The sequence below is a fragment of the Homo sapiens genome, chromosome 11 (genome assembly GCF_000001405.40).
Source record: "Homo sapiens chromosome 11, GRCh38.p14 Primary Assembly".
Classification (NCBI taxonomy): domain Eukaryota; kingdom Metazoa; phylum Chordata; class Mammalia; order Primates; family Hominidae; genus Homo; species Homo sapiens.
In genome coordinates, this window is record NC_000011.10 from 84,661,630 (window position 1) to 84,689,433 (window position 27,804).

At 38.0% G+C, this 27,804-nt stretch overlaps 1 protein-coding gene across 34 annotated transcripts in view, besides 1 other annotated feature; it reads right to left on the reverse strand.

Annotated features, from left to right (window-relative positions):
• The window catches only part of DLG2 (discs large MAGUK scaffold protein 2), a 2,173,362-nt gene that overhangs the window by 1,206,618 nt on the left and 938,940 nt on the right, over nt 1-27,804 (reverse strand). The gene's annotated exons all lie outside the window — the stretch shown is intronic.
• Nucleotides 12,047-12,557: an enhancer, noted in NCBI's record as "NANOG hESC enhancer chr11:84384719-84385229 (GRCh37/hg19 assembly coordinates)". NCBI's record gives its function as "activates a minimal SCP1, AML or CMV promoter by ChIP-STARR-seq in primed H9 embryonic stem cells {active_cell/tissue: H9 hESC(primed)}" and the evidence as "EXISTENCE:reporter gene assay evidence [ECO:0000049][PMID:30033119]".

A 27,804-nucleotide genomic window follows, 5' to 3' on the forward strand; every position in this document is an offset into this window, starting at 1 on the left:
GAGCAACTAAGACATGATCTGTCTCTTTGAGTTCCTCACAATTCAGTATATTTGTGTCTGTAAGTCAGGTGGGGGAAATGGTGTTGAGGGAGGGAGATTCAGAGATTCAGAGAGACTGAGAGAGATGTCCCTCATTCACTTTCCAGAATATAGAAATAACTTGGCAGGACTTAGCAAAGTCCTTGATCATTAAAGATGTTCAATATAAATGTTTATATATTGACCACGTAATGCAGATCCAGAGACAACTCATCTCAAGTTTCCTTAAAGAAGCACAAGACATACTGAATTAACGGTAACAAGACAGGGAGTAAAATCTCACCTGGACAAAATGCATCTGCCCCTCCCCCATGCATGTTTTAGCTTTAATTTTTTTCTCTGTAATTTCTCTAGTTTAGAAAGGGTCAGCTTGTACTAGGGAACCACAAATGGAAACACATGTGACATGATAATATGGAAGTAGAGGGCCAGCTCCTCTCACATCATCCTGGTTTCCATAACCATTCATTCAGATGTCAGTATCAGATCATCAGTACTTAGAGTCAGTTTCTTTGTAAATCTTTTTTTTTTTTTTTTTTTTGAGATGGAGTTTCACTCTTGTTGCCCAGGCTGGAGTGCAATGGTACAATCTCTGCCTCCCAGGTTCAAATGATTCTCCTGCCTCAGCCTCCCAAGTAGCTGGGATTATAGGCACATGCCACCATGCCCAGCTAATGTTGTATTTTTACTAGAGATGGATTTCTCCATGTTGGTCAGGCTGGTCTCGAACTCCCGACCTCAGGTGATCGGCCCACCTCAGCCTCCTAAAGTCCTGGGATTACAGTCATGAACCACTGTGCCTGGCCATAAATCTCTTTTTAAAAGCAGTCATGGCCCAGACATGGTGGCTCATGCCTATAATCCCAGAACTTTGGGAGGCCAAGGAGGGCAGATCCCCACCTGAGGTTGGGAGTTCGAGACCAGTCCAGCCAACATGGTGAAACTCTGTCTCTACTAAAAATAGAAAAATCAGTCAGGCATGGTGGCATGCACCTGTAATCCCAGCTACTAGGGAGGCTGAGACAGGAGAATCGCTTGAACCTGGGAGGCGGAGGTTGTGGTGAACTGAGATTAAGCCACTGCACTCCAGCCTGGTCAATAGAGCAAGACTCTGTCACAAAAAAAAAAAAAAAAAAAAAGGCAGTCACTTCTGAGTTTGAAGGTCCTGATTAGATCCTTCCAGTCAGGGATTAAACCGGAGAACTGAGAAAAGGTGGAGCTATAAGTCTAGTTTTATTGTTAACAAATTGGGGCATTTTCTGAGCCAGCCTACTCAGTTATAATTAAGCCCTGAGAGGAAAAGCCCTACCAGGTTACAGGGTAACATCACCCTCTTCCAATTTCCTAGCCAACAAGACCACTTTAAGACATAAATACTTTCCTCTGTTTATTACCGGAAAATACATTTTCCTTAGTATGTCCTTCTCCCATTCTTTACCTTCTTCACCATTTTGAAGATCACCTCAGATATTAACTATTCAACTTATTCTGTATTACATTTTCTCCATACAGAAAAACATACCAAGATATAATGCTTATTTGTAATTATGCCTTTACAGGTTATATATATATATATATATATTTTTTTTTCATATATTCTGCATGGTCTAGCAATGTTGTGAGATAGACTCTTGGCTTGAGGGCACTCACCACCATCTCTTTCTCCCTCCCTTCCCTGACCCAAGGCTGGATCAAAGATTGCTGTCCTGGGCTCCAAGAGTGAACTCTGGTGGTTATCTCAAACAAATTAGAATCTATTCTAACAGTCTATTGACAGGATATCCTAAAAGGCAGGTACCTTTTCTTATGAATCTGTGCGTCTCCAGAGTAGACACAGAGCACAGCAAATATTTGTTGAAAAATGCATGAATGAATAGGGCAGGAACACAGGATATTTATTTACTGTATCTCTTATTCTTTCTATCCCTAGAGTGACTCTAGTTTCTTTAGGACTGTCTTAATTTATGACTATTTACTTGGCACACTTATATATTACCTTTCACTTTCAAAAAATAAATGGGTTTGGATGACAAATTATATAGTCCAACACTATTCATACCTGAACCTGTTTGTAGGCCCCTTATATCTGGACCCTGAGGTTCTGTCATCCTTATATCCAAGTTCCCATATCTAATTCTTAATCATGGGCTGACACTGGACGACGATCTTTTACTTCAGCCAATTCCACTCCTGCTATTTTCCCTCTCTTCCCCTACTCAATTCAAAGGGCCTTGCAAATGTCTTGTCTCCAGATCTGGTGCCCAGGCAGGCAAGCCATGACTAAAGGACACCTGTTTTGAAATCCTAGGCCTCTTTGGACTAGAATTCCTGACAACCAAAATTCAGCTTTTTAATCTCAAAGTAAAGTTACAGGCAGAACAACAACGACTATTTTATACCTTAAGAGGCTTCCTTCTGAATGAAGCAAAGTGGCAGGCACATTTCCATGAAATATAGTCTTAACATTTTTCAAATGATCTTTTTTGCTCTATGGATAAACTAATGAAAAATAATCATAATTCAATGTTAAATATTAGCTGTGAATGACATTTGTGTACATATCGTTCCCTTTTTAAAAAGTTTCAAATTCTAAGCCTCCTCCTTGGCTCTCAAAAAACAAAACAAAACAAAACAAAACAAAAAGCCTGAAATAATTTGTCCACTAAAATTACAAATTATATTTCAAATGACTTAATTACAAAGTCATGGAATATAATGAAAATGACAACTGACTCTAAGTTAGTAACTACACTTATAATTAACAGAAGACTTTGACAAATGTTTATAGTGCTTTGAAACAGGAGGTCAGGACATCAATTACAGAGGTAACATAAACTCATTTTTCCTATTTATAATTCAAATCCAAATTACCACATATTGTAACATGTGGCAAAAGCCCCAGCTTTTCAAACTTATGCCTGGAGGTCAGGTAATTGTCTCATAGAAGGAAAAAGCAGAAAACCAAGCAGGACAGATGGGAAGTAGGGCACTGTGGGCCAAAAAGCTTCAAATATATTCAAAAAATTGTATTGATTTTCAGAGATGCTCTGGCTGTGTGTTCCCCTAGCCAGCTTTATTTTCTATCATACTTCTCTCCTTTCCTTACCAGCACCCTGTACAAAATAATATGAAGATGCTGATATCTGATGATTGTGGTAGATTGTATTTCTGTTTATGATTGTTAACACCCCTCCATTGTCCTTTCCCTTAGGAAATTATACATTCCTGCCTCATTGATTTGGAGTTTGGCCACGGTATATGCTTTGGTCAGTGGAATATGAGTAGGTATGACATATTTTTTTTTTCGTGAAAGTAGGAGAAGTACCATGAGTTTCTGCCACTAATCTTGCTTTTATGTGCTGCCATGAGAATCTTAGCTGGAGATTCTTCTATAGAATGGGAAGGCAAGGAAGCAGAGCTGGCCCTTACCTAGAGACAAGCTATAGTGGTAACACAAACCTGTAAGTAACATGAGCAAAAAAATAAAGATTTGTAAGTGCTGAAATTTTAAGTATGTTTGTTATCACAGCTGACCAACACATTGATAATGATGATATATAATAGTATTGATGGAGCTTTACAATGTGTCACACACTGTCTTAAGTGCTATATATGTGTTAAATTATTTAATCCCATTTTACAGATGAGGGAATGGAAGCAAAGAAAGTCAAATAATTTGCACAATATTACATAGTCAGCAGCCAAGCCAGATTTGGAACTTAGACTCTGGCTTCAGAGGCTAAGATCTTACGCTATACCACCTATCTATCTATCAGTAGTATTTCCAAATATTCATATATTCAAATCTCTTTCATATCTCCATGCCTTTCCACATGCTAATCCTTCTGGAATTCCCCTTCAGTCCTTTCTCACTTAGAAAACTCCTATTCATCCTCCATGACCCATCTCAGAGAGTCAATTTCTGTGAGTCTAATTGCTTCTCATTCACCCCACCCCACTTCTTGAAGACGGTTGCTTCTTTCTTCTATAAGGGCATAACATTTTATAGTTTTGTTGTAACAGTGTTATTACTTTCTGTTGTGCTTGTCTTCCTTTCTAGATGTTGAACTCTTCCAGGGTGAGGAAAATATTTCACTTATTTTTAAATTTCTAGAGTCAATGTGCTTGATACCTAGTCAATGATCAGAAAAAGTGTGATGAGTGACTATTAGAGTTCTAGTGACCCATTCAATTTGTTCCTTAAACCCAAGTAAAAGAAGATGTGGGAATAGGTAAGCATTCTCTTAGTCTACAGTTTTATTTTGTAACTGAGTTCACATTATAAACTATAAAATAGGGAGTTAGCACATTACATCGCCTTCACCTGTAGAACAATTTCTCTAGCATGTGTTGCCCTCCCCTCCCCTATAGGCATCACTAGGAATTCGGCTAACACATAGGTCTCCAAATCCATTTCTTCCCTTTCACATTTATTTGCTGCTCAGCCAGATTTTTGGTCAAGCATTATCCTGGGTGTTTCTGTAAGGGTGTTTGGGGATGAGATTAACATTGAAATTAAATCAGTAGACTGAGTAAAGCAGATTGCCCTCCACAATATGGGTGACTCTCATCCAATCAGTTAAAGACCTGAATAGAACAAACAACTGACTCTTCTCAAAGTAAAAGAGAATTCTCCTATCTAATAGCCTTCGAACTGGAACATCAGCTCTTGTTACTACTACAGCAGCTTCTGGTCTTTGGACTGGAACTGAGACATTGATTCTGTAGATTTTAGACTTGACAGCCTCTCTTTAATCATGAATTCCAATTCATTATAATAAATCTCTTTATGTATATATCTATATATGTATATGTCTATATATGTATATGTATATACACACCCCATATTGGTTCTGTTTCTCTGGAGAAGTCTGACACTTACAGGAATCAAGTATTTAGGGACCCTCTCCTCATCAGCAAAACAATTTGATATCAAAAAAGTACTCACCAAACAACTAGCTCCATATGCAATTGGATGTGTGTATACACATATATTTGTACATATAAGTATATATGTGTATAATTACATAAACACATTTTTACAAATATATATTTATATTTAAATAAAATCACACACTCAGAAATTTTTTTGAGGTAATTATAATTATCCCTATTTCATGGCTGAAGAAATAAAGCTTAGAAAGGTTTACCTAAGGACAGATAACCAAGAAACACAAAACTGGAATCAAAATGGGATCCAAATCCAAATTTACATGACACCCAAGATCTAAGCTGCTAACCACTAAAATGCACTACTGAATATCAGCTTCATTTCATGGTAGAGAAAATTTATGTGTTGTCCTATCTACATATCCCTCTTTTTTAACCCAGTTTTGCCTGAATTTTGTTTTATATATTAGTCTATCTTGTATGACTTATTTATTGATGAGAATGCCACAATTTAAAATATCCGTTATGTGAGTGTTAGTTATTATTATTCTTAATACTGAATACTTCATGTTCTTATTTCCAATTTATGAGACGACTTAAACAGAATATACAAATGTATTTCTAAATTCTAACACCATTCGCACCGGGCAGGTAAGTAAGCAACTTAATAGAAACATTAGACCATCAAGATATTTCCACACAGTGAAGAAAGCTAATGCATGTCTTGTGAGAGACAAAATACCATTATTATGGATATACAAACATGGCTAATATTCAAATATAGATAATATAATCACAAATATTAAAAATACACTAAAGGTAAAATATGAATTCATGTATCATTCTTAGACAAAGTCTTTAAAATAAAAAAATTGAGAGGAAATATGAGAGGATAGAACATTGATTCAAGTTTTTTTTTGTTTTTGTTTTTTGTTTTTTGTTTTTTTTTTTTTTTTGAGTCATAGTCCTGCTCTGTAGCCCAGGCTGGAGTACAGTGGTGCGACCTCAGCTCACTGCAACCTCCGCCTCCTGGGTTCAAGCAATTCTCCTGCCTCTGCTTCCTGAGTAGCTGGAAATACAGGCACCCACCACCACGCCTAGCTAATTTTTTTGTATTTTTAGTAGAGATGGGTTTTCACCATGTTGGCCAGGCTGGTTTTGAACTCCTGACCTCGAGTGATCCGCCCACCTCATTCCCCCAAAGTGCTGGGATTACAAGTGTAAGCCACCACACCTGGCCAGATTAAAGAGATTTTTAGTAACTAGGTTCCATTGCAAAAATTTATCCTTGTGTCCCCACCCAAAAAGTTAACTCTGGTGGACAGAGCACAGACTAAAAAATCAAAATACTTGAGTCATTATTCTGGATATATTATTTAATAATTGAGCAACTTTTGAGGGTAATCTTTAGATCTCAAAAGGCAGACTAGAAATAATAAGGACTCTGAGTGAGACAGATCTCAGTGTGAGCCCAGCTCTGTGACACACCTGCTATATGAGAGTATAAAAGTTAACCACTTTGAGTATGAAGTGCCAGATAAAGATAGTAACGCCCATTTCGAATGAAGTGCTTTCTAGAGTGCCCAACAGAGGGTACCCTTGATAAATATTTGTGCCCCTATCTCCAGACCCTATTTTCCTCACCCAAAGTTCCTTTCTGAGTCTATACTTCTATAATGCCATGATCTGTACCCTACATTCTAGGGTGACTCTACTAAAAAAGTTGCTGAATGGATTCTTCTGACTATTTCTATCCCATAGTGTGTTTGTAGCTTTTGTTTCTTCTTTAAGCAATTGAGTTTAAAGATAGGTTTTGTCAAATGTTCTCTGCATTCCAAATGTATCTTTGAATTATCAAATAGAAGGTAACCAGCTTCCCAAATACCATTTCTGTGAAGAGAATTGCTGTGATCAGAATGCCTCGTTCACTGAATGCCCTTTCTGATAAAACTAAATTGAAACGGTTTAAGTACTCATTATGGGTTTACTGAGCTCTGCAGTTGATTCCTTCAAGCTACATCTATTGAACGCTTGGATGGCATAAAAATCAGCATTCTAAGAAAAAACACAAACACTTTCAAAACATTCCTTCATCCCTCGTGGTTTCTAGCGTGTCTTTCTAGAGCAATAATATTTTATCGCTGACTCTGAGTCAAGTCACCATTTCCCCTTAGTAATAATTTTTATCCTCTTCTTTCCTTCTGCATTTCCACATCCAATTGTTGAAAAATTTGAAAATATTTTTACATTCAATTTTTAAATTAATGTGTCATTTTCATGCGAAGAAGACACAAAACACTGTGCAAAAACAAACCATTATCATTTATCCAAAAAATATTTGAGCATCCACAATGTGCCAGGCACTGTTCTAGGTACCAGCAACAGAAAAAAATAAGCAAACAAAATAGACAATATTCCTTGTTCTAACAGGTGTATCTTCAAATTGGGGGAGTATATAGTATATCTGGTCTTGAGAAATGTGATGGGGAAAAATAACACAGGATATGGGACAGGAAGTTAGGGTGGCCAGGGAAGGGCTCATAGAGAAGATGACACTAGAGGTAAGACCTAAGTGAGGCAAAGGGCAAGCATGTGCTTGGTGGTTGGGGGGAATAAAAGGGGAGTTGGGGTCTGGCACTTCAAACCAGGGAAACAAGGGTAAAGATCCTCATGTAGAACCATCAGTATGCTTGGTGTATTTGAGAAATGGCAAGGAAGCTGAAACAAGGGGGAGTATGGCTAGAGACAAGGATGGAAGTGTCCAGATACTAAGGAAAACATTTACCAGTCACAAAGACTAACTTCATATGCCAAAGTAGGACAATGGCAAGCATTGGCTGTGCTCTCCAAATACCAGACTGTCTATATTTTGTTAACTTAAATTGATTTCCAAAGTGAACGCACTACTATCACCTCTGGTGTTCTACTCATCATATATTTACTTATTTACTAATGCATTCATAAACTCCTTCACTTCTTTTGACAAAGTGTTAGCATCTATGGTGTAAGATATTAGATAGGTACGGAAGAACAATATGCTTTCAAATAACACAGTAAAGATTCACCAAACCCCTTTTTCCCCCTACTAAACACACACTTTGACCACATTTCACAGCCTATCCTGTAGTCATTTAGGGTCACCTGACAATATTTTGATCAAATGGCCACCTGACAATATTTTGATCAAATGGACTGTCAGAAGAAGTGATACACTTCATTTTTAGGCTTGGACTCCTAAGTACCTCCTTGGAGATCCTCCATGACCTCTCCTTTCCTTTGCATGCTGGCAGAGAATTGGTGGAGGATTCTGAAACCCTGGGAACTCGAAGAAAGAGTAGCATTGAACTGACAAAGAAAGGTAAGACAAGAGCCTTCCTTGAAGAGAGACCAGCACATACAAAGGCACTGAGGTGCAACTAAACAGGACCTGTTGTAGAAAGAACCAGAAGAAGTTCTTTGGACTGGAGAATAAGGCGAATGGGCATGATGGCAAAATGTATACATAAGGACTGGATTTCAGAGGTCCTGCACGCCATCCAAAGAAATGAAGACTTCCTCTTGAATGAGATATAAAGAGAAATAACATGGCTCAGGTCAATTCCAACCTTCCTCTTGATCGCATTTACACCATTCTGAGCCTTCCCTGTCTTCTTCACCACTCACTGTATTTCTCATTAACAAAATGTCCATATTCTCAGAGAGGTTTGTGAACTCTCAGAGGGCAGGCTCTCTCTCTCTCCTTCAAATTTGTTTTTCAGAACATGAAGTGGGCATTCAAACTATTTTTTCATATTTAAAGCAACAAAGCACTCTAGTTATACATGATTTTGATGTAAATCATGAGGAAAAAGAGTAACTTCAGTGATATGTTGCCTCTGCCCAGGGCTGCGGGAGATCAAAGAGCAGGGCGCTTATGATGGGATGCTAGTGTGTCCACCAGAGGCTACAGAACACACAAGTGGTGTCGATTTCACAACAGGCTCACCACAATGTTCAATTCTGTGTCTATTGCCTCTGGTGGCATAATATAATAATTCAAACAACAATACAAACCACTATTGATTGAACATGTGTTGTTTTACATAAATTGTCACTAATCACAATACATCTCCATTTACAGATGAGGAAACAGCTTCCAAGAGTTTAATGTCACACAATGACTGAGTGGGTAGAGCCAAGATTTGAACTTAGTCCTGTCTGATTCAAAGCCCCTGTTCTTTCCATCATATCGCTCCCACCCCTAATATTGCTGTGGACTCATAGTCCAAAGCACCATTTGTTTTGACACTTGTATTTTATCTTAAAAATTCCTATGAACAAAGTATTCTTATTAACATCAGAGTAGATACCTTTTTGTACTTATTAGTTTCATGTTTTGAATTAATTACCATAAGAAAAAAAATTACAAATTTACAACCTCTTGCAGCAGCAAGTATTTAAAAACATAGTGCATACCCTGTGGGGTAAGAAGACAAGGGTTACATCCGGCAGCCTTGTCACCCTCTTTCCACACTTCTGGGATTTACCGAGTACAATAATTTTTTTTTTTTTTTTGAGACAAAGTCTCACTCTGTCACCCAGATTGGAGTGCAGTGGTGAGATCACAGCTCACTGCAGCCTGCCTTGACCTCCCTTGCTCAATCAATCCTCCTATCTCAGCCTTCTGAGTAGCTGTGACTATAGGTACATGCCACCATGCCCGGCTTATTTTTTTAAATTTTTTTTGTAGAGACAGGGTCTCACTGTGTTGCCTAAACCAGTCTTGAACTCCTGGGCTCAGGCAGTCATCTCATCTAGGCCTACCAAAGTGCTGGAATTACAAGTGTGAGCCATTGTACCTGGCCTTACAGTACTACTCTTGACCCCAGAGCAGCAGTTCCTCTGAAGACTTTACAACTCTATAAATGTCCTACAGCTGGAAGAGCAAGATGACAGTAGGGGGAGGAGATTAGTTGTACAGCCTTCTGCTCTGGGAACCTGCTGTAAAATAAACACTGCTGAAAATTCCTGTTCCTGTTAAACAGAATGACTTCCGTGTTGGCTATTGCCCATGTGCATGTGCTCTCAGCAGAGAAAAAGAGACAAAATAAAAAGTGACTTGTGCAGAAAATTCTGGAATAATTAGAAATTCTTTTGCAGGAAGTCTGGCAAGTTTCGCCACTTTTAATGACTGGTATGGACTTCTCTTGGTTTAATCTTGGCTTCTGAAAATTCGTCTGAGTCAGTCACTACTCAGAACAGACTGAAAAGTGATTATGGGAACTAAGTAAAGGACAGCTGGCTCCCAGTAAATTTGTGAAACGAGATTTTTTGGTTTTGAGGTTTTTGTTTTGTTTTGTCTTCCTCTTGTATTTGCATTTCTGTGTTCCCTGGATGGAAGGCAAGCTTCAGAGGCAGAGACTTAAGACTATATAAGTATCTAGCTCTGTGAGCTTGGACAAGTCTATCAGTTATCCAGAACCTCATTTGAACAGTCCTCATTTTTAAGCAAACATTTATTGTGCACTAATTGTATTCTAGACCTGGCTCCAAATGTTGGTGATATAATGGAACAAATCATAGTTCCAACCTTAAGTAAACTCATGGAAACATAACTAATAGTGTAAAAAATGCTTTAGTAAGACTAAACGGAGGATGCTAGTCACCCAAAGTGGGTGTCTAGTCTATTTCTGTCCTTCAGAAGAACAGAAAGCTTCTTCAAGAGAGATCCAACTCTGCCTAAACCTAAATGATGAGTTGGAATGAGTCACATGACATATCTATGTATTGAGAAGGTAGGGTACGTAGAAGCATATCTCAGGCAAAGAGAACATCAAATGACACAGGTACAGAGACAGAGAGAGCGATCTGGTAGATAAATTTAAAATAAAGCATATACAGAAAGTCTAGAAACCTAACATATTTTTAATAGAGAAGTTGTCTTAAGCAAGCCTCAGCCTTACAATAAGTTTAAGTCTAATATTCACTCATTTCCATCCATCCATTCATTGTACTAGAAACTATTCCAGCTGCTAGCATTATAAACATGAAGAAGTCATAAAATAGGTAAGTGAAAATTGATAGACAGGACTTCTAGAAAAGCGCCTTAAAATGGAGACAGACACCTGAGGCACTCCTTTTGCCTTTCCCTCTCATTCTTCCCTGTTACCAGGAATACAGCTCTGATAGTTAAAGTTTTAGCAGCTCTCTTGGGCCATGACGTGATCCTGGTGTATTAGTCTGTTCTTGCACTACTATGAAGAAATACCTAAGACTTGGTAATTTATAAACAAAAAAAAGGCTTAATTGGCTCAGGGTTCCACAGGCTATGCAGGAAGCATGGCAGCATCAGCATCTGGGAAGGCCTCAGGGAGCTTTTACTCATGGCAGAAAGCAAAGCAGGAACAGTTATGTTACATGGAAAGAGCAGGACACGGTGTGTTGGGGGGTAGGTGCCATACACTTTCAAATAACCAGACTTAACGAGAACTCACTCACTGTCATAAAAATAGCACCAAGGGGGAAATTGACCCCCATGACCCACTCACCTCCCACCAGGCCCCACCTCCAACATTAGGATTACAATTTGACATGACATTTGGGCAGGGACACAGATCCAAACCGTATCACCTGGACATGGAATGCACAAGCTAGGATAATAGACAGGGAGGAAGAAGGAGCCTGACAATCATGGAGCTGCCTTCCTCTAAATGTATTTTACATAAGAGAGAAATAAATATTGCTAGGCTGCTATTATTTGAGGTTTAAATTATATGCAACAGAATCCACTTTCCAACCAATTTAGAGCGGTAGCATGGTGTAGATTAAGAAAGATTATAGACTTTGGATACAGACCTGAATTTGAATCCTGGCTTTGTCAAAAATAAGCTGTTTCCTCCTACCAAAATGAGACTGATATACAGAGGGTGGGTAAGGGGCTTATAAATATTATAAATAAGTGCCTACCATATAGCATATGTGTGATATTATTATCTGGATTATTTGGATTAGGTGGAAAGTTAAAAACAAGTCTACAAACAAAACATCCAAAAGCCCTAGAATCTAAAAAAAAAAAAAAAATTAAAATAAATAAATAAATAAATCACTAATGTAGTGAAGACTGTGACAAAAATAAGAATTTTCCATGGAAGAATTAGAAGAAAATTTGAACCAAGATGATAAAAAATTAATGAATTAGGTACATTTCAAATTAAATGTATCTCCTTAACATCAGAGTCTGCAAGATATTTAAAAGGATAACTTATAGGGACTTCCTCATCTATTATCCTATACCTGTCAACTACTCAAAGTCATGCTACCTGCAACTTACAACAACTCAGCACTTCAGCACAGGGACAGCAAACAAATGCAAATGCTGGCTTGCTGTCTTCTGAATAGGAGTAACAGCTTTCATATGCTTTCAGACTTAATTAACTTTGGCCTTAGGCCCAGACCCTGAATCATCAGTTTATAAGAGGTGCAGAATAATGGCACAAAACTCACATAATGTAGGGGTAACTCTTAGAAAAACTTTTCTAGAACTGAAAGACAAAAATAGAATTGGGCACAGTAGTGAAAGCAACATAGTGATGAGTGTCCTTCTAAATTTGTCCATCTTTCTGAATTATTTTTCATGAAGACAACTATGCATTCATGTTGCTACTGTATTCAACAGTAAATTCTACTAAGAAAATATGTGTGACTCCAGGTTGATGTTTAATTGGTAATAGCTCCTCACACAGTCTACTTGATTAAAAATCTCAAATCCAATATGTCACCAAGAGAAGACTTTTTACTTCCTTGAGTAGTCATCATCATTGTGATACTACATGAATGAGCAGAGTATAATTAATTAAATAAGTATTTATTGAGCCTTACTAAGTAACAGGCACTGTGGTAGTTTATCCTGGCTTCTAAATTAGTGATCCTCTATCCTGCTAACTGGAGACTCATATACTTCTTCAATCTCCCATTCAAACCTTAGCTCCTTATTAACTTATAGAACTGAATATCTCTGGACAATATTTTACACAAAACAAAACTGAACTTCAATCATCATGGCCTCTATTGACCACTGTGACATGTTCTGTCACTTTAGTTGAGTATACAAGATTATTAGGAATAATACAAATTTATTTATAACCTCTCATTGACCTCCTTTTAGTTTTTGACTATAGGTACAATAGTCAGGAGTTAAGCAGCATGACCATAATATGTGATGTATGTGTCCATAAATATGTACTTACTACTTTTGCGTGTGTTCACACGCATATATGTCTGTTCATGTCTTCACCTTCCTTACATGGGCTCATCTTTAATCTCTAAAATCTATTACTTCAGCCTCCATCTCACCAAGTCTTCCCATTTGTTAATGACTTTTTCCCACAAGACAGTTGAAATTAATTTTCCTGTCACCGACTTTGTATTGTGGGAAAATCCTGGATTTATGGAGTTTCCCTAACAGAGAACTTTTCATTGACTCCTATTCCATAAACCTAGTATACAGCATCTGCCTCTCTTTCTTTATTTGCATCAAGTTGCAACTGCAGGCCTGAAATAAACCTGGCAAGCCAGGTAGGGAATCTGCCATCCAGTCCAACCCTGCGGCCCCCTCTATCCAGAGTGTTGATTCTGCTGTCTTGATTTTCAGCACCTGTTTGGATTCTTGTTCTTAACAGAACATCTATGGGTTCCACTGCTTTAACAAAACTCATCATGGAAATAGCCTCTTCAGATAAAAACCTAAAATAAATTAGGAAAGAGAAATCATAAATACAGCAGTGGCTCTAAGAAGCAGAGCCGCTTCTCTCCTGGGAAGTTGCCATTACTGTTAGGGAATAATGTCAGAGGCTCTGGGAAGGCTCTCCATGCAAAAACCTTTCTCAGGGATTCGAAGATATTTTTAACAAATAAGATGAAGTATAAAATTTCACAAGTGGAATTCAGCCTTAAAACTCCAGAGAAACTGAGATTGCTTGTTACAGCTCATAAACCCTAGTGGCTCCTGGGCTATGTTTTGTTTGCTCTAGTTTACCTCCACCCAGTGAATGCATTTTCTGGTTCACATAGCACTCGTTGCCTGACACATGTTCACAATGCTTATTTCTAGCAACTGCCTACACCCTAGTTGAAATTCACTAGATAACTGACATTAGACGGGACGGTATTTTAGCCTTCCTTTTTGGTAGCTATGCAATCCTAGCCCATTGTCTCACTTCTCATCCCTTTTACACCGAGGAGGACTGAATTACTAGGTTCTGGATGATGGCCATTTGTCCAGGTTTCCCAACTGAGAGTAATTAATTGCCAAAGGATTTATGCACAGGGACTCTGGCCTCTTTCTCCTCCCTTGTCCACTTAAATCAGTAGGAGGTAGTTTCCTGGATATGTGTGCCTCCTCTGGGTACCCATACTGGCCCTTGAGTGGGTTTTTTCTCTATCCAGATAGAGTAATAGCTACATAGCAGAAAGGCAGTAGATCTACTTGAATCTCATATAAGAGCTACATATTCCAGTCTAGTCTGACCTTTACTAGTAACAAGGGTGGTACTATCATTCTCCTGCTGACTTGCTTCTCAACTGATACAGTTTCCAGAATAAATATGAGAGCTATTTATTAAGCATAACAAATAATATATATATGAGCTTTACCAAGGAGAATAATTTGATGATGGGTTGGCTGTTTGTGTATAAGAAAAGAAGACCATCCTGGATGTGGAGAATACTTCAGATAGAAAGTCTGGAAACCGGAAGGAAAACATTAACATTATAATTAGTCAGTTCTTTCTTTTTCCCCTTTACTTTGGCTTTTAAGAGAACCTATGTTTCCAATGATTTTAAAAATAAAAGTTCTTAAGAAATGTCTGTATGGGTAAGAAAATTGAAACCCAGAAAGGTTAGATGTCTTTCCAAAGATCATATGGCACAGCTATGATTGGGATCTGAGGTCCTTTATCACACACCCTTTAATCAACATCTACTAATAAAGGGAAAGTAAGAAAAACACCAATGGTAACAACATTTAAAGTGGTTTATACATATAGAGCAGTTCTGCCAGACATTCTTCTAGGTGCCTTGAAATATTAACTAATTCATAAAATACTTTATGTGAAGCAACGTGTACCTGATTCTGTACTACCTGTGGCAAATACAGGCATAAACAACAGAAGTGGCTCTTGTCTTTACATTCTAGTAGAGGTGACAGCCATCAATATAATATATTGATTAGCAAATCATTACTTAATTATACTGTAATATGTGCTCAAAGAAATATAGACTTTCATGACAGATTGTAATAAAAGGCCTGATACTTGAAGTGTAGGAGTAAATTAGGATGGGGGAAAAGCAGGAAAAGATGTTCCAGGCAGATGGAACAAGTGAGAAAAGCCTGCAGCAGAAAAGGGCCTTTTCAAAAGCGTGGGGCATCATTGGTGACTGGAGATAACAATGGAGAGGTGGGACTGGGACAGATCATGAAGGGCCCTAGAGGTCATAAAAAGAATTTGGGGTTTTATCCCAAGAGTAACAGACATCCATTGAAAGAGATATGTGAATAATTTGACAATACAAAGAAGAAAAATGTAGGTGCGTGACTAAATTTTCGGGGATGGAAATCAACAATCTTGGTTACGGCATTCATTAAAGTAGATTGTATGAAGGTGGGACAATGAATCTGCCTAACTTCCTTTTGATTCGTATCAGTCATTCCGGGCATCCCCAAGATAAGTGCATTTCAGGATATTCCAGTAGCTTCACTTATACCTGTTTATGAGAGAAGTTTAAACTTCATAGTCTGGAAACTTCCTGCTGATTATAAAGGATTTTGAGAGTTATTACCTAAATCCTGTGGCTGCTTGTAAATCAGTGAAGACATCATTATAAGAAATAGTAGGAAAAAAACCATATTTCTCTAGTGACCATACTGGAACAAAAATCTCTTATTACCTAGAAATGAGAACTACTTACAAATCCTTCCTTATAAGAATAGCCCTGCACAGAATCATTCTAACTTGACACAGATCATATTTTTACAAAACACTATATCAGTTCAACCACTAAAAATGTTGCTGAGTATAGTGGCTTATGCCTGGAATCCTAGCAGTTTGGGAGGTTGAGCTGGGAAGATCACTTGAGGCCAAGAGCTAGAGACCAGCTTGATCAGCATAGCTGACCTCTGCAAAAAAAGAAATAATAATAATAATAAAAATTAGCTGGGTGCAGTAGCATGCACTCATAGTTCTAGCTATTCAGTAGGCTTAGGCAGGAGGATTTAGTGCAGGAGTTTTCCATTGCAGTGAACTATGACAGCCCTACTGCACTCCAACTTGGGAGAAAGAGTGAGACTCTGTCTCAAAAATAATAGTATTGTCTACTAACTCAAAATGCATGAGTAAATTGCATATAGAACAATATTAATCTAATATTCATACAAAGCAAAATTCTTCAGAGACTGAAGGAAGTCCAAGTCTGCAGAATGCCATTAAGTATCAAGGCAATTAATGAGTTTCAAAAGCTCACTTGTAAAAAATTGCGTCCCTGAAGATTCATTAAAAGACTCTATGGAAAAGCAGCTTCTCTCACCCAATCACTTCTTCCTCCACCTACAACCAGATGGTGAGAGCTAACCTAGGCCTCCATAGCTGCTTTTCTCTTCCTTTCTCTCAGACTATGGACAATGCCATCTGTTCCCAAGGTTTTGTGAATCATATGTAAACTAATGACACACACTTCTTTTCTGTTTAGCCTTAACTTTTTTCACTGGATGTTTTGCTTATCATCAAAAGCAACAGCAGTCCATCTGTTTTCAGTCTAATACACCCTTGAGTTAACACAGGGTTAGCACACCAGGGAGACAACATACGGATCTCATTCCGCCATTAAGGAAGTAGTATATGGAGGTGAATAAGAGCATGGAATTTGGGGTCAAACAGATCTGAATTTACAGTCAAGTCCTGCCACTTAACTGTAATGTAAGTTTTGACAAATTCTTTCATTCTAGGAGCTTCATTGTCTATACTGATGAATGAGGCTAGGAACAATCTCACATAACTATATGAAGCTTAACTAAGATCACTCACTTGAAAAGATGCCTGGCACATAATGATCACTGAAAAGTTTGTAGCTTCTATCAACATCATCGCTCAACAGCTAGCCAGCTTCTCATTTGTAAATATATATTTATACCCTGATTAAATATATTGTATGTGTGGTAGAAGAAGGTAGTATAGTGGAATGTCTTTTGAACTAGAAATGAACAGAAATTGAGTCTAGTTCCTTTTCCTGTCCTCATAGCCATGTGACTTAGGTAATTTATTTAAATTTCTAAATCTCAGATTTTTAATTTGTGATATAGCAGTAATACTTATTGCATAAGTTTGGAGTGTTAAACAAGATAATGTATGGCTATGTAAATTATGATTCTACATAAAAAAGTTCCTAGTTGAGTCAGCATTTAGGATAAGTAACATTTATTCTCATAGAAATTTTGTTACAAATGGCTGTTAAGTTCAAGTGACAACCCACAGCAATGTATTCACCTTAAGCATAGCTTAAACACAATGTATTTGAAATAAAAAATAATACAAAATAACAGCAATGACTCCAATAATAGTTGCTAAATAAAAGACAAAAAAAACAATGTGGCTGTACAAAAAATATTTTGTCTCAGGTGCTGATGCTGGAGAAAATATAATAATAGATATCTGCAGAATATAATGATTGATGTCTGCAAAGAAAATATAATGAAATATTTCACGTTTCAATGGAAACATGAAAGTTCGATGTCAATATATAGAGATTTTCAGGAATGTTTGCAAATGATGACAGATTCCAGTTGAGGTTTTACAAAAATGTTTGGACAGTTGCTTTTTCTTTCTCAAAGTTTTTTAGGGTTCAAAATGAAAGGGAGAGCTACATTAAGATTTTCCTGAGATAATGAATGAAAATAAAATAAACCAAGAAAGAAATAAGAGGGCAAGAAAGAATATGGATTTTCATGTGAAGGAGGGTTACTTCAGGAAGAATCTCAAGAGTTATGATCAGGGATACAGGATTAGGAGATAAAGAAGAAAGAAAAAATAAGTTGCCTATAATAGTTACCATTTATTGAGAGTTTACTATATGTCAAAGTCTGTTCTAAACGCTTCGTATATATTAAAGTCATTTAGTCTTCACACTTCGTCTATGAACTAGTGCGATTGTGAGCCTTATTTTATAGATTAAGAAACTGAGATGCAGTTATAAATATAGTAAGTTGTAGAACCAGGATTGGAATTCAGGCAGTCTGGATCCAGACCCCAGACTCTTATGAAAAAGAATAAATATTGGGTTTGGGACAATTTATTCATGTAACAGTATTTAATATCAGAGAGTATATACAGATGACTATTACAGCCACACTTTCTGTATTATTGGAGCTTACAATTTAGCTCTCGTACTGAGCCAACAGGTAGTGCTCTTCATGAGCATAGTTTGGTCATCCAGTAATACTAGGTTATCAGGTTTCCAAATAAGCAATGTTAGAGCCATTTCCAACTCTTCACTTCTTTATACATGATAGTGACATCTTTCAGTGTCCCTTAGTCTCTCTCTCTTCCAGCATATGGTCTTTGCCTCTGTTCAAACCATAGTCAACCTCCTTCCTCCTCCTCAACAGACTTCTTCTAGGCAGAACACTCCAATCATCTTCAAAGCTGTTTCTTGAAGCTGTTTTCACCAGTTATGTCTATCCCTTTTACCCTGTCACAATTCTGCTTCTTGCTGAACAAAAATCTAGGCTACAAAAAGAGTATGACAATTTGCCTATTGCACCAGTATCAGTATGAAGATAAGGGCCATCCCTCTTAAGGGCAATTATTGCCCCTTGGACTAACCAACACCCTGCCTCCTCACTTCCTCATAATTCCAAGGTGAATCTACCTATCCTTACATGCTGGTCCTCTCAGAAAGGATACTATTCTATTATTCAAACTAATCTTGAAATCCAGGAAATCATTTCTACTGGGGTGTGAGAGCTTGGCATTTCTTCACTTAAAACCTTTCCCAAATATTTGTCTAAAAATTTAGCTAATCTGATGGGCTTGAAATAAACTTTTGCTTTGCAGCCAGACATATTTAGATTCAAATTTTTGCTCTTCTGCTTCCTAGCTGAGTGTCTTTGGACAAAGGTAGCCTCTCCATAGAGCAGAAGCAAATACCATAGCTTGTACTGCTGGTTTGAGAATAAAAGGAAATGTTAACACTGTCTTTGCATGTATTGTTGTCTTTTCAGGTCAGTTGTCTTCTAGCAGTTTTATACATAATTCTTAGTTACTAACTTTTTAAATGCTAGAACCCAAGTTGAGTACACAGAGAAAAGTAGATTCTTTCACCTTCTAATCAATGCTTTGGATATATAACAGTATTTCCCTCATTAATTTACTCAACAAACATTTATCAAGCATCAACTATGTGCCAGGCATTAGTCAGGACACTGGGATGCAGTGGCCAACAAGATCCATAAATATCTATTAGAACAGCACTGCATATCAAATTATATGACTTCATTGAAATGAGTTCTTTTCTATTTATTTCACACAGTTGCTAAACCTCTATTTTCTTTAAATGTAAAAGTCAATTTGAGAAATGTATTCAATAATCATATAGGAAAGCAGTGACTTACTGTCCTGAGGACCACTTCAAACTAATCATTTCTCTTCACAATCCTTCCTTCCCCTGATATGGGGGTATAAGTGTTACCAAAGAATATGTGCCCATCTCTGTGCTAAGTGATTTATCTTATTTCATTTTTATTTCTCTGTAAAGTAGACAATTTAAAGATGGACAACCTGAAGTTCAAAAAGCTTAGGTACTTGAAGAAGGCCACAAATCTACTAACCCAGATCAATCTAGCTGGTTGAGGCACTGTTGGTTTGTAATTTCAAATGTGTAATATACATTAGGAAGTGGGGGGTACCGGTTTCAGTATTTGAACATGCAGCTTTATGCTCACAATGTGTGGTTCCAAGGTCTCTTAATGGCAGAATAAAACTTCAGAACACAGAGAAGAGAACATGCTGGCTCTTCCAACCATCAGTTTTACATGCTTTCAATTAATGCTTGATCTCTGCAGGTGGGAATCTGCAGATGAGACAATCCATCTGCAGTCAGTAATCACTCCATTTCACTGTCTTGAACTCCTGGCTAGTAAGGGCAATTAAAGTCACGCCCCTGCTGAGATTCAGACTCAGTGATTGTTGCTGCTCACTTGCCAGAAAAAGCAAGAACCAATGTGGAAAAATTGAACCTTATTGAAAAAAAAAAAACAAACCCTCTTTTCTTTGCTGACTTTTAGGCCTGACTTTGATGCAGAACATTTAAGAAATATTGCTATTATAGTATCTGCTTCTAGTGAGGGCTTCAGGCTGCTTGTACTCATAGCAGAAGATGAAGGGGAGCTGGCATATACAGAGATCACATGGTGATAGAGGAAGCAAGATAGAAGGGAGGGAGGTGCCAGGCTCTTTTTAACAACCAGTTCTTATGGGAAGTAACAAAGTGAGAATCTACTTATCCGGCTACCCACCCCAGGGAAGACATATGTTTATTCAGGAGTGATCTACCTCCATTACCCAAACACCTCGCATTAAGCCCCACCTCCAACACTGGTAATCAAATTTCAACATGAGATTTGAAGGAGTCAAACAAACCAAATTATAGCACAGTCCCAACATAGTCACTGTCTGGCTATGTGATACTGAGTAACTCAGTGACCCTCTTTGAAAGCTGTAAGAACAATGAGGATAATGGTACCTGATCTACAGACTTCAGAGAACTGTTGTGAGGGTTAAATGAAATTATCATGGAAAAGAGCTTTGAAACACTACCACACAAAATGCAAAGGCAAGGAATATTTTGGTTCTCTCTCAACACAGGCTTTGTGTGGTAGCTGGCAAGGGAAGGGTCCTAAAGAGGTGCCATGGAGAGTGGGGAGCCTGGTGCTCCTCCACGGCTTTCCTCCTGTGGTTAGTACTAACAATCAGATGTGGTTGCTGAATAGAGCTGAAGGCTAACAGCTCTGGGTGAAGATCTTTCAAAGTTCTGCCACTGGAGGAAAAAGCCAACCTCCTTGACCCACAGGTCTCTCAGTCCCCATGACTAGGGCCTTGAGATGAGGCCCCAAAGACTCAGCCCCAGCTCAGTTTTAGGATTAATCTAATCTCACACAGAGGACTCTAGGAAGCCTTTACTCAGTGACTTGGTGGCACAGATGTCAAACCACCAGCTGCTCTATTGCCTCTATTGCTCTGATCTCACACCCTTCTTCTTGTAGGTCAGAGGAGTAGTGAGAAGAGGGTATGGGCTTCAGAATCCTATGAACATGGATTCCAATACTGGATCTATCACTGGTTTGGTTTTAAATAAACAGGCCAAATTTCTCAGCCTCAGTTTTCTCTTTATCACAATGCAGATATAAATAGCTACTGAAGACCAAATTAGTTTACAGAATTTGTGGTGGGGTCTCTGAGTATATTTGAGCAATGTTTATAATGACTTAAATATACTGGTCTGAATGATGAGTGTAAGTTATCCAAGAAAAGGGAAAGGAAGGGCATTTCTGGAAGAAGGAAGATTTTGTGAGCACAGGAAGCAGAAATGAGTCCTTATGGTATAGTGACTGAAAAGAAAGACATGTTAAATAATCAAGTTTAATATGTGTTGTGACCAACTAAGAGAATTCAAATGAATTTTAGGTTCTCCTTGGTTTTCTTAGCACTATCTCCATTCTCCAGACTTACTCTCCTATGCCTGTGGGTTGATGTTTCTTAAACAGAGATTCCCTGCCAGGTATTGCAGGTAATCTTGCCTGTATGTACCTGTAAATTCTTCACTGCTTTAGAAATAAGCATTGGGAGAAAAGCTTAACAATCATAGTCCAAATATTTGACTTCAACCTAAGAACTGCAAAACCAAGTACTATAAGTTTTCAGAAGAAACAACTGCCCTTGCCATAATAGTTGCTGAAAATACCAGCCTCCAAGAAACAGGGATTAACGAAAAGCCTCCTACACAAAGTTCATCAGCCTCCAAATGACACAACCACTGAAGGATTTTGAGACTCGCAGATGAGCACATGCAGCTGGTAGGAAATGGGCTGAAGTCGCAGCACCATGCCATTATCTGCAGGTGCACTGAAAGCACCAATTAAGCCTGGAGACAGGGTGTTTAGGTGGAAGGATGGGTTTTGAGAAGCAATTTCATTGTGAAACAAAGTTCCACAATGTCCTATTGCTGAATCCAGAAAAAAGGAAGAGGCCCTTAATGCAAATAAGAAAGCTCTTGACTTTGTTTTCCACAGTGCAAAACATCCCAGTTATAAATGTTGACTTATTTTTAGAGTCAGGTTTCAGAAAACATCTATACCAACAAAATCAGGAACAAAGCATCTTGAATTTACAAATTTCAAATAGAAAACATCTGATTTAGCTTGCATGAATGTAGTTTTTCAATCCCCTAAGCAATTTGTTTCATGTTGAGATTGCCTCATGAATAAAAAATGTCCTGGAAAAGTTGGTTTTGTTACATCTCAGATATTTAATCAGGCATCAGGCACAGGATAGATGCAATGTGTATTTATTTTCTACTTTGGCTACAATATCAAGGACTGAAAAAATGTATTGAAAGATCTGAAATGACAAGCTGAGTAGTAGGAGATAATTCCCCTGTGGCATTTAGAAGGTATATTTTTCCTTTTGTCTTTCCTTGAGTGCTAATTTTATTCTTGGTATCATCTGCACCCAGCTTGCTCCCCTTGCACCATCATCTCTGTGGCCCATGTCTTGACTTCCTTTATACAACTTTCTTTTTCTTGTTCACACTCCAGAAATTGAGTTTCTAAGCCTCTCCACTCCATTCACTAATACACAGGGTGTCCAGGGCCTGTTAAACAGTACGTCACAGAACATATTTGTTGATGGGCTACCTATGAAAGCAGCATCAACTCTATGGGTACCCTTCTCTAGAGTTCAGTTTGTATGTGGTGCACTGAAGGTAACCTGAACATGTGGGTCAGATCTGGTTTCAAATCCCAACTGAGTCACTTACAAAGCCATGTGACCTCTGACCAGATCCTTGAAGTACCTTCTCTGAGCCTACTTTCTCCTCTGTAAAGTGGGAATAACAATACCCACCTCTCAGAACTGTTGTAAAATTTCCATGAAACCAAATAAATAAATCACTATATGCAAGGCCTGGCATATAATCGTATTTTCTGTTTAATGTGAATTATTACTGCAATCTAATAACTCATGGTTACTTTTCTTGCTTCCACTTAACGTAATTATAATGTGTTCCCAGATACAGAATTAAGTGGAATACAGTGTTTGACTTTGAGAATTTCAGTGAATGATTCTAGAGGAAGAACATATAAGATTTTGACATTATTAAGGTGAGTAGCGCTCTTTTATTATTTGCAATTTATCTCTTTTTGATTCTTACTTAGACAGTATCTGTTTGCATTCTCACAACAACCTCTTAAGGGAATTACAAGCATCCAGGCATTCCTATTTAAGAGACACAGAAACTAAGTTCCAGAGAAAAGAAGTGAGTTGTCCAAGGTTACAGAGCTGGTTTGAAGCAGAGCCAGGGCTATAATTCCAGTTTTCTGACAACCTATCCACCATACCATCCAACTTCAGTTTTAGGAGCTCCAATATCCTGTGAGTTCCTAGAAAGCTGGCCTTTCCATATTTGTGTCCTCAATGCCTAGCCAAGTTCCTGGCACACAGGAAATAGTCAACAAATCTTTGATGAGTGAATAAGTGTTCTGCCTGGAAGCATTAATAAGAACCACAGTCAGTCCTAAATACAGAATCTAGACATGATCCCAGGATTATTGGGCAAGAAGTTCCACTGCCACTTCAGTAGTTTCACAGAGCAAGAGCAAGCTGAATCAGGTACAGCCTATCTCCCAGATCCAATAGGTAATCAATTCCTTCTAGTCTTCTCATACATATATTACCCATTCTTTTCCTGCAGCTCACTCCTGTTCTAATGAGCTTGAGCTAGAGATTTATTTATCTGCCAGAGGACTATTCCAAATATACGAGTCACAGCATGAGAACATCAGAAACATAGCAGAATTTCCAAAAATGAAAATATATTTCAAAGTAATATTTTGCTCTGTATTTTCTGTATCCTTTTTTTTTTTGAGACGGAGTCTCGCTCTGTCGCCCAGGCTGGAGTGCAGTGGCGCGATCTCGGCTCACTGCAAGCTCCGCCCCCTGGGTTCACGTCATTCTCCTGCCTCAGCCTCCCGAGCAGCTGGGACCACAGACTAATTTTTTGTATTTTTTAGTAGAGACGAGGTTTCACCGTATTAGCCAAGATGGTCTCGATCTCTTGACCTCGTGATCCGCCTGCCTCGGCCTTCCAAAGTCCTGGGATTACAGGCGTGAGCCACCGCGCCCGGCCTATTTTCTGTATTCTTTAGGCCAGCAGCAGTTCTGATGCTTCAAGCCTCTTCACTCATTTACAAGATCTAAAGCACTGAACAGAGATCTTCCTTTAAGAGCAGTACCTAGTGAGTCAATCGTTTTCATGAACAGGACATTTGGCTCGAGCCAGACAGCATATGGATAGGCACTCAGTCAACCTCCTGACTGTAGCTCTGCCTGCTTGCCTAAGGTCAGACATGAAATGCTGCCTGAGAGTGCAGTTCTCCATAAGAGGCTGTCAAATCCATGTCTCCTGAGGTAAAGGACTTTGTCCAAAGACCCAGCATGGTTCTTTCTGAATCATTTTTTAATACGCAACTTCCTTGTTAACATCAATTTATGGCATGCAGAAGGCAACCTTTCTACAATGCTTCGTGTCTGGAGATCTAAAATAACAAATTACCCAGAATCCAAACAACAACCTGGATTTGGTTTTGTTTCTCATATTTCAGGACTTCTAAACTAATCTGTTCTTATATTAAACACTACTCAATGACATCTCATGGTTCTCTCCAATCCCTAAAGTTACATGGTATTAAAATCCTGAAAAACTAAGTGATTAGGCAATTGAACTATATTTTATTTCACCTTGTAACCAAATTCTTTCAACTGGCCTTGAGGTTTTTTTTTTTTTTTTTTTTTTATGCTATACACCATGTAACATATAATAGCCTAAAAACATTCATCCATAAGAATTCTAACAGTCGATAGTGACTGCCTAACACTCATAAAGAAATCACACTCCTTACTTGCTTGCATTCAAGAAAGAGACTTGTGGTTGGGGGGTGGCGCAGAAAAAAAGAAGAAAGCCAAGGCATTTTTCTCCATGTTTCTGCTTCCTGTGATAATTCCAACAGCAGTGGCACCTCCTCCTTGGCTCCTACTCTGCTGAACAGGCCTGCAGTGGTTCCAGCTTCCTGTGGTTGATTCTGGCCCTAAGTTCCTTCCTTTAGTCCTTCAGTTTAGGAGTGGGCATGTTTTCCTGCTGTGGTTAATCTGTAGATTGCCTTGCCATCTTCTGTTTGTTTCTAGGCTCTTTCATGGATTATGCAACTTACTGTTTTATGATGTGCCTTTTATTTCAAATACTTAGAAGGACTTCTGTTTTCCTAGTTGGACCCTGTTACATGCTCTATTTCATTTTTCTTTGCCTTCCACAAAACACTGTGTGAAATATTAAATAAGAATCAGACATACTTGGTCCAAATTCTAACTACATCTGCTGGAATAAGTAACACTGCCTGGGACTCAGTCTTCAGTTTCCTCACCTGTAAAACATAACGACATAACTGATTTTACAGGGTTGTTGTGGAGATTAGATGAGAATATGAATGAGTATGAATCCTTAGTGCATAATGCCCAAAAAATCCTGGTTATTATTTCTCCAAACTCAGTTCTTTACAGCCTTGATAGAATACCTTAACTGTAGTCACCTAGCTTTCAACATATTTTCCCATGTAAAATTTTCTAATTCCTCCATGGGTACCTCAATTAGTATCATTTACTCTTATTAAAAACACCTGTCTTTCCTCCAGTCTATGCTATGAATTTATTTAAACCTACCTGCCTTCTTAAATAAACTCTATTTCACTCTTATGACTCATTTGCACAATAGCCTCCAGGTATTCAAAATGTACAAGGTCACCCTGCACTTCTGAAATATTTTTGAATGACTAACATCACCTTCTTTCCTACCTATCAGGTTTCATTTGAGTAAATTTCTTGAAGATCATAACTATAGTTACCATTAATTTTCTTCAAGTCATACATATACACATTAAATGTCAAAAAAAATGAAAAAAATGATGCTAGTTATTGAGTGAAACAAATATCTAATCAGGAAAATAGTGTTTGCTGCACTTTTCTTCCACTAATTGAAAACTAAGGATGGAGGGATTTCAGATGCAAATAAAATACCAGGTGGGTTCCACAGTACTGCATTTAAGTACTGAACTTCATAGAAGTAGCATTTGTCCCTGTCAGGTGCAACTGAACACCATGCCTTCAGATGTACTGTGTATATATGTGATAGCAGAGGAAGAGCAGAAAAACTCAGATGTGGTCCTCAGTTTTCAGATGACTTAGCTAAATAGAGACATCACTGAGCAGTAGGAAACAGCATGAGAACATGAAACATTATAAAGCATAGAAAAAATTTGTGTTGCAAAACCTATTTAGCACCATAAACATGAGAAGAGCCTAATATAAAGGCCTCTTGACATAGCAGAAAATAGCTATTGGTAGTCTCTTGAACTTCACCATACAGCAGTGTTAGGTCTCACCACTGCCCACAACTCTTACAGCCAAAGTATATATAAAATAAATCACTGTATTAAAATTAGGAAAAAGAAAGTAGATCTCAATAAATGTATTTTCTTGTAAAGAGTGGTTAGCTTTTAGAAGGCTTGGCATCAAAGGTATGTGATTCAGTTATGAAAAAAATACACTTACATGTAAAAATTTCATTCCTTTCATTCACTGATTTACATAGGTATTGAGCCCTTGCTCCCTTCCAAGTACTGCTTTAGGCATTGGAGATATGAAGATAAATAAAACACAGTTCTTGCCCTTAAGAAGAGAAGCACTGAGCTAAAGTAGCAAATGTTAAATAAATATTGTGGGGAAGTGTCAAGGTGTATACTATACACTTAAAATTTAATAAGCATAAATCTGGCTCTCTCTGCCTATAATGTGCATCCTACTCCATTTCACTTGGAAAAAGGCCCTCAGACAAGATCAGCTCAAATATGACCCTTCCAATCTCCACTGTCTGTGTCTGTACATCTCTACAGTGTACTCACTGCACACTTCTAGGAGTCTCTCTCACCTCTACCCTGTTCCTGGTGGAGGACTATGAAATCCTCAAAAGCAAAAGTGACAGTTTATTTTCTCTGAACAACTTCTGCATATACTTAGTTAGCTACACAGAAATCAACTGATCCTGAATTTGAATTACCCAGCCTTTAGAATGTGGGAGAGGCCTTCCTTCACAGTGCTGTTAAGCAGACTGGAGACTATCTACGTAAAACGCTAGCACAGTTGCTGACATGTAGCAGTCGCTCAGCCAAATGGAAGCTTTTATTATTACCTGTTTTTTCAACATTCAAAAACGTAAATAACTATGAAATGAGAAATTGGCTATACAGTTTTATCTCAAGAAAATCTGTATATTGTTCTTAACTTCCTAATATGTATAAAATCATCATTTTGTGACATTTACTAGTATTTCTGGAGGTAAAATGCCTAATGTCTTGTTTTTTTAACCATTCTACTTAAGTGGGACCAACATTCAGAATGGAATGTAATAAAGCAAGACTCTATTTGGATACTTTGAATGTATTAATGAATGTTTCTATTGAGAAACAATTAAGTTTCAAAAAAAAAATAGCACATAAGATGTACTGTACAATCATCCCTCCTCCTC